This window comes from Homo sapiens, chromosome 13 (genome assembly GCF_000001405.40).
Source record: "Homo sapiens chromosome 13, GRCh38.p14 Primary Assembly".
NCBI lineage: Eukaryota > Metazoa > Chordata > Mammalia > Primates > Hominidae > Homo > Homo sapiens.
The window spans coordinates 108,041,515-108,045,690 of record NC_000013.11 but is presented as its reverse complement, the minus strand read 5'-3'; the positions used below and the strand labels follow the sequence as shown (position 1 = coordinate 108,045,690).

The 4,176-nt window shown below is 39.2% G+C and overlaps 1 annotated feature.

Moving 5' to 3' along the window:
* Window positions 3,781-3,950: an enhancer, noted in NCBI's record as "experimental_32153 CRE fragment used in MPRA reporter constructs". NCBI's record gives its function as "activates a minimal promoter by MPRAs in K562 erythroleukemia cells, with activity observed for both the introgressed and non-introgressed 13:108694174 variant alleles {active_cell/tissue: K562}" and the evidence as "EXISTENCE:reporter gene assay evidence [ECO:0000049][PMID:34662402]".

The following is a 4,176-nucleotide window of genomic DNA, read 5'->3' as shown; positions in this document are numbered from 1 at the left end:
GTCATAAAATCCATTAGTATTTAATCCAACTACCACTATATTTCAGGTAAAGAAATGGAAATTTGTCATTAACAGAAGATAAAAACAGAGGGTGGAAGGAGGAAATTGAAGCACATTCTTGGACAAGAATAAAATCATTAAAATGTTAACAAAAGGTAAGAGAAAACATTGATTAATAGATTATATTGGAACAGCTGATCCAAGAAACCCTCTGATACAAGATTTAGGAATGAAATACCACAAAAATTCAGCATCAGAACCTAACCAGAGTTCTGATCCACTTCTATGTATATGCTAGAAATAATTAGATTGACAGAGTCTGGAAATGGGATTAGAGATGTTTCAGCCAGGGAGGAAAATAACTTCATGCAGTGTGAAAGGCAGGTAGTTTATTCCTCTAAGTGGAGTAGCTTGTCACCAAAAGCCTGTTTGTACCAATTATTCCAGTTCACATGAGCCAGTCTCTGCTGAGGATGCTACTTCACCACCAATTTACTGCACCTTGCAGTGGGTCTGAGAGGTGTCCCAGCTGCCGCCAGGCCCCTCCCTGGGCTGACAGCTGTTAACAGCTCAGAGCTGCAGTGATAAACAAAACATGAGGGAGCACTGTGACCTGCTGTTCTGTGTTCCCTTCTCCATATCCACAAGATGCAGTGCTGCTTCAGACAACTGCAAAATCCAAGCAGGAAGTGATATAAATGTTGAGAATGGATTCATTAAGTTGTTGCTTTTAGTTTTACACTGGCTGCAACCCTGTATGACTACATAAGTCTCAGAGAATGTAGAAAGTCTCACCTTAACGCTTGTTGTTGGTGATGGATGTATTGCAATCTTGTAAAATTCTTGTGGATTTCTCATAATTATTTTTGTAATTATAAATTGTTATATGAGTCATGGTTTTAAAGCCAAGCCCCTAACGATGTGATAGAAATCAGTTTTGGGGTGTTCAAGAAGACCAATGATCTGTTACTATAAACATTATAAAACTTGTTTCAGTTGGCAGAGAATGGAGATTACTTGGTTAAAATATTATGCATTGTTAGGTAAGACATCTTAAACTCCTCATTTTCTAATCATTTAAATACTAGAAACAAAATTCATCTTTCTTTATAAACTCACTTTATGAAATTTTCTCCATCATAAATGCTCCAAAATTAAGCAACATTAACTAACAAACTCATGTGTGTTAAAACTAAAAAAAGCAATAGTGGCAAATATGATTAATGAAAACAAATGCAAACTCAAACCCTGAAGTCTCATGTGGTTCTCAGAAACACATTTGAAATCCAGATTAACATTTTCAGTGCTCACTTAAGTAATAGTTAAAAAAAAAACCTAAACCACTGATGTTGAATCACTCCAGTTAGAGAAACACTTACCTCAAAGGTGTCACAAGGTTCTCACATCAGAGATTTATTTTTCAATGTTTATATTAGTATAATACATACAATTGAAGCATGTGATGAATGATGGGATTCAACTTTACTGGCTCTTATAACTCTGATAATCTAGAATAGAGAGAACTGATACATTTTTGAGGACTCCACACAAAAAATGAAACTTTAAAGACTGCACACATACAACGTAAAGACGTTCTCTGAGGCTAGGGAGGAGACATGAGCGGTATCTCTGTGTGTCCAGACAGAGCCATGGAGAGCCAGCCTTGATAGAAGTGCTCCAGTGGAAGGTCCATGGCCCTCTCCGGCTGCCTCATTAGAGACTTCTGTGGCCCAAGAGCACTGCAGGGAGCTTGAATGGGCCACACCACCAGGCACTACAGACCTCTTTGGTAATCTGTGGACCAACAGTTGAGCACATTTTCTGACTGTCATGTTTGGTGCTAGAGTTTGGATGTTTGTCCCCTGCAAACCTCATGTTGAAATTTGATCCTCGTTGTTGAAGGTGGTGCCTTATGGGAGGTGTTTGGGTCCTAGGGGTGGATCTTTCAGGAATACATTAATGCCCTCCCAAGGGTGAGGTGAGTTAGTTCTCACTCTGTGAGTTCTCAAGAGAGAGCTTCTTGTTATGAAAAGCCTGGCATCTCTGTTGTTCCTCCCCCACTTTTTCTCACTCGCTCTTTCTCTCTTTCTCTACACACACTAACTCCTTTTTGCTTTTTACCATGAGTGGAAGCAGCCTCAGGCCCTCATGAGATGGCCAGTCTTGAACTTCTCCAGACATCAGAATTGTGAGCCAAATAAACATTTTCTTTACAAGTTACCCAGCTTCAGGTCATCCTCTATAGCAACACAAAATGGACTAAGATGCTTGGCATTAACATAAGATATTTGGAATGTGTCACAATCCTATGGGGTAAGAATCAGGAACAACTGAAGGTGGAGTCAGAAATTAAGTTGAATGATAAAAAATAAAGCTCTGTGTGCTGTAGACATAATATTTATCAGAGGAACCCACCCCCAATATTTCAACGTGGGTTCTATTTTCCATAAGTGTCAGCCAGCTGAGAAATAAAGAGAAAGAGTACAAAGAGAGGAATTTTACAGCTGGGCCGCCGGGGGTGACATCACATATCAGTAGGACTGTGATACCCACCTGAGCCTCAAACCAGCAAGTTTTTTTATTAAGTGTTTCAAAAGGGGAGGGGGTGTAATAACAGAGAGTAGATACAAAGATCACAGGCTTCAAAGGGCAAAAACAGAACAAAGATCACATGCTTCTGAGGGAACAGGACAAACGGCAAAAGCAGAACTACTGATAAGGGTCTATGTTCAGCGGTGCACATAGACCTCCCCCCAGGAATGCATTCCTTTCCTAGGGTATTAATGTTAATATTCCTTGCTAGGAAAAGAATTTAGCGATATCTTTCCTACTTGCATGTCTGTTTAAGAAGACATGCTCTGTGCAAGAAGAAAAATATGGCTCTTTTTGCCCTACCCTGCAGGCAGTCAGACCTTATGGTTGTCTTCCTTTGTTCCCTAAAAATTGCTGTTATTCTGTTTTTTTTCAAGGTACACTGATTTCATATTGTTCAAACACACATGTTTTACAATTAATTTGTACAGCTAACACAATTATCACAGTGGTCCTCAGGTGACGTAAATCCTCATCTTACGAAGATAACAGGATTAAGAGATTAAAGTAAGACAGGTGTAAGAAATTATAAAAGTATTATTTGGGAACTGATAAATGTCCATATTAAAATAAAATCTTCACAATTTATGCTCCTCTGCCATGGCTCCAGCCGGTCCCTCCGTTCGGGGTCCCTGACTTCCCACAACAAATATTATCAATACAAAGCTGTCTAAATATTCTCCTCAGAATATAAAGAACTTGGAGGGATGGGACAACCAGTACAGTAATGTCAATGGAGAAAAATGATAAGACAAGTCTCAATCATTTTAGGAGATTTATTTGACAAAGTAAAGGATGCACCTGGGAGACAGGTCTATGCCTTTCTCCAAAGATGATTTTGAGGGCTCCAAATTTAAACAGGAAAGGACGGGATATTGAAAAGCACACAAGTTTTATGTGGGATGGGGGTAGAGAAAATAGTCATTCATGCCTTTGTCTGGCTCAGTGAATCTGCATTTTTACATAAGATAACATAGACAAAATGGGGCAGGGGAATAATCAGATATGCATTTGTGTCTGGTGGGCCAGGGTGACTGCACCTGTAAAGATGAGCTATCAATTTGCATTGCCATGGTAAAATTTTAACAGCTCAATAGGCATTTCCTTGTGGGCAAAATATGGGGGAGTCGTGTAGCTTTTCATTTTGTAGCCATCTTATTTAGGAACTAAAAGCAGGAGGCAGGTTTTCATGACCCAGTTTCCAGCTTGGCTTTTCCCTTTGGCTAAATGAGTTTGGGGTCCCAAAATTTAATTTCCTTTCACAGTAATATAGATTCGTTTCAATGAGTCACTAACTTAGAGCACACTCATTCATTTCCAGGAAACTCAACTTGGTCATCTCATGATCCTTTTCCTTTAGATCCCTGAGTTCAGCACTCCTAGCTTTCATTATTCTTTGAAGTAATGGTCTAATGAACAGACACTTCTCAAAAGAAGACATTCATGCAGCCAACAAACATGAAAAAAGGCTCAACATCACTGATCATTAGAGAACTGCAAATCAAAACCACAATGCTATAACATTTCATGCCAGCCAAAATGGTGGTTATTTAAAAGTCAAGAAACAACAGATGCTGGCAAGGT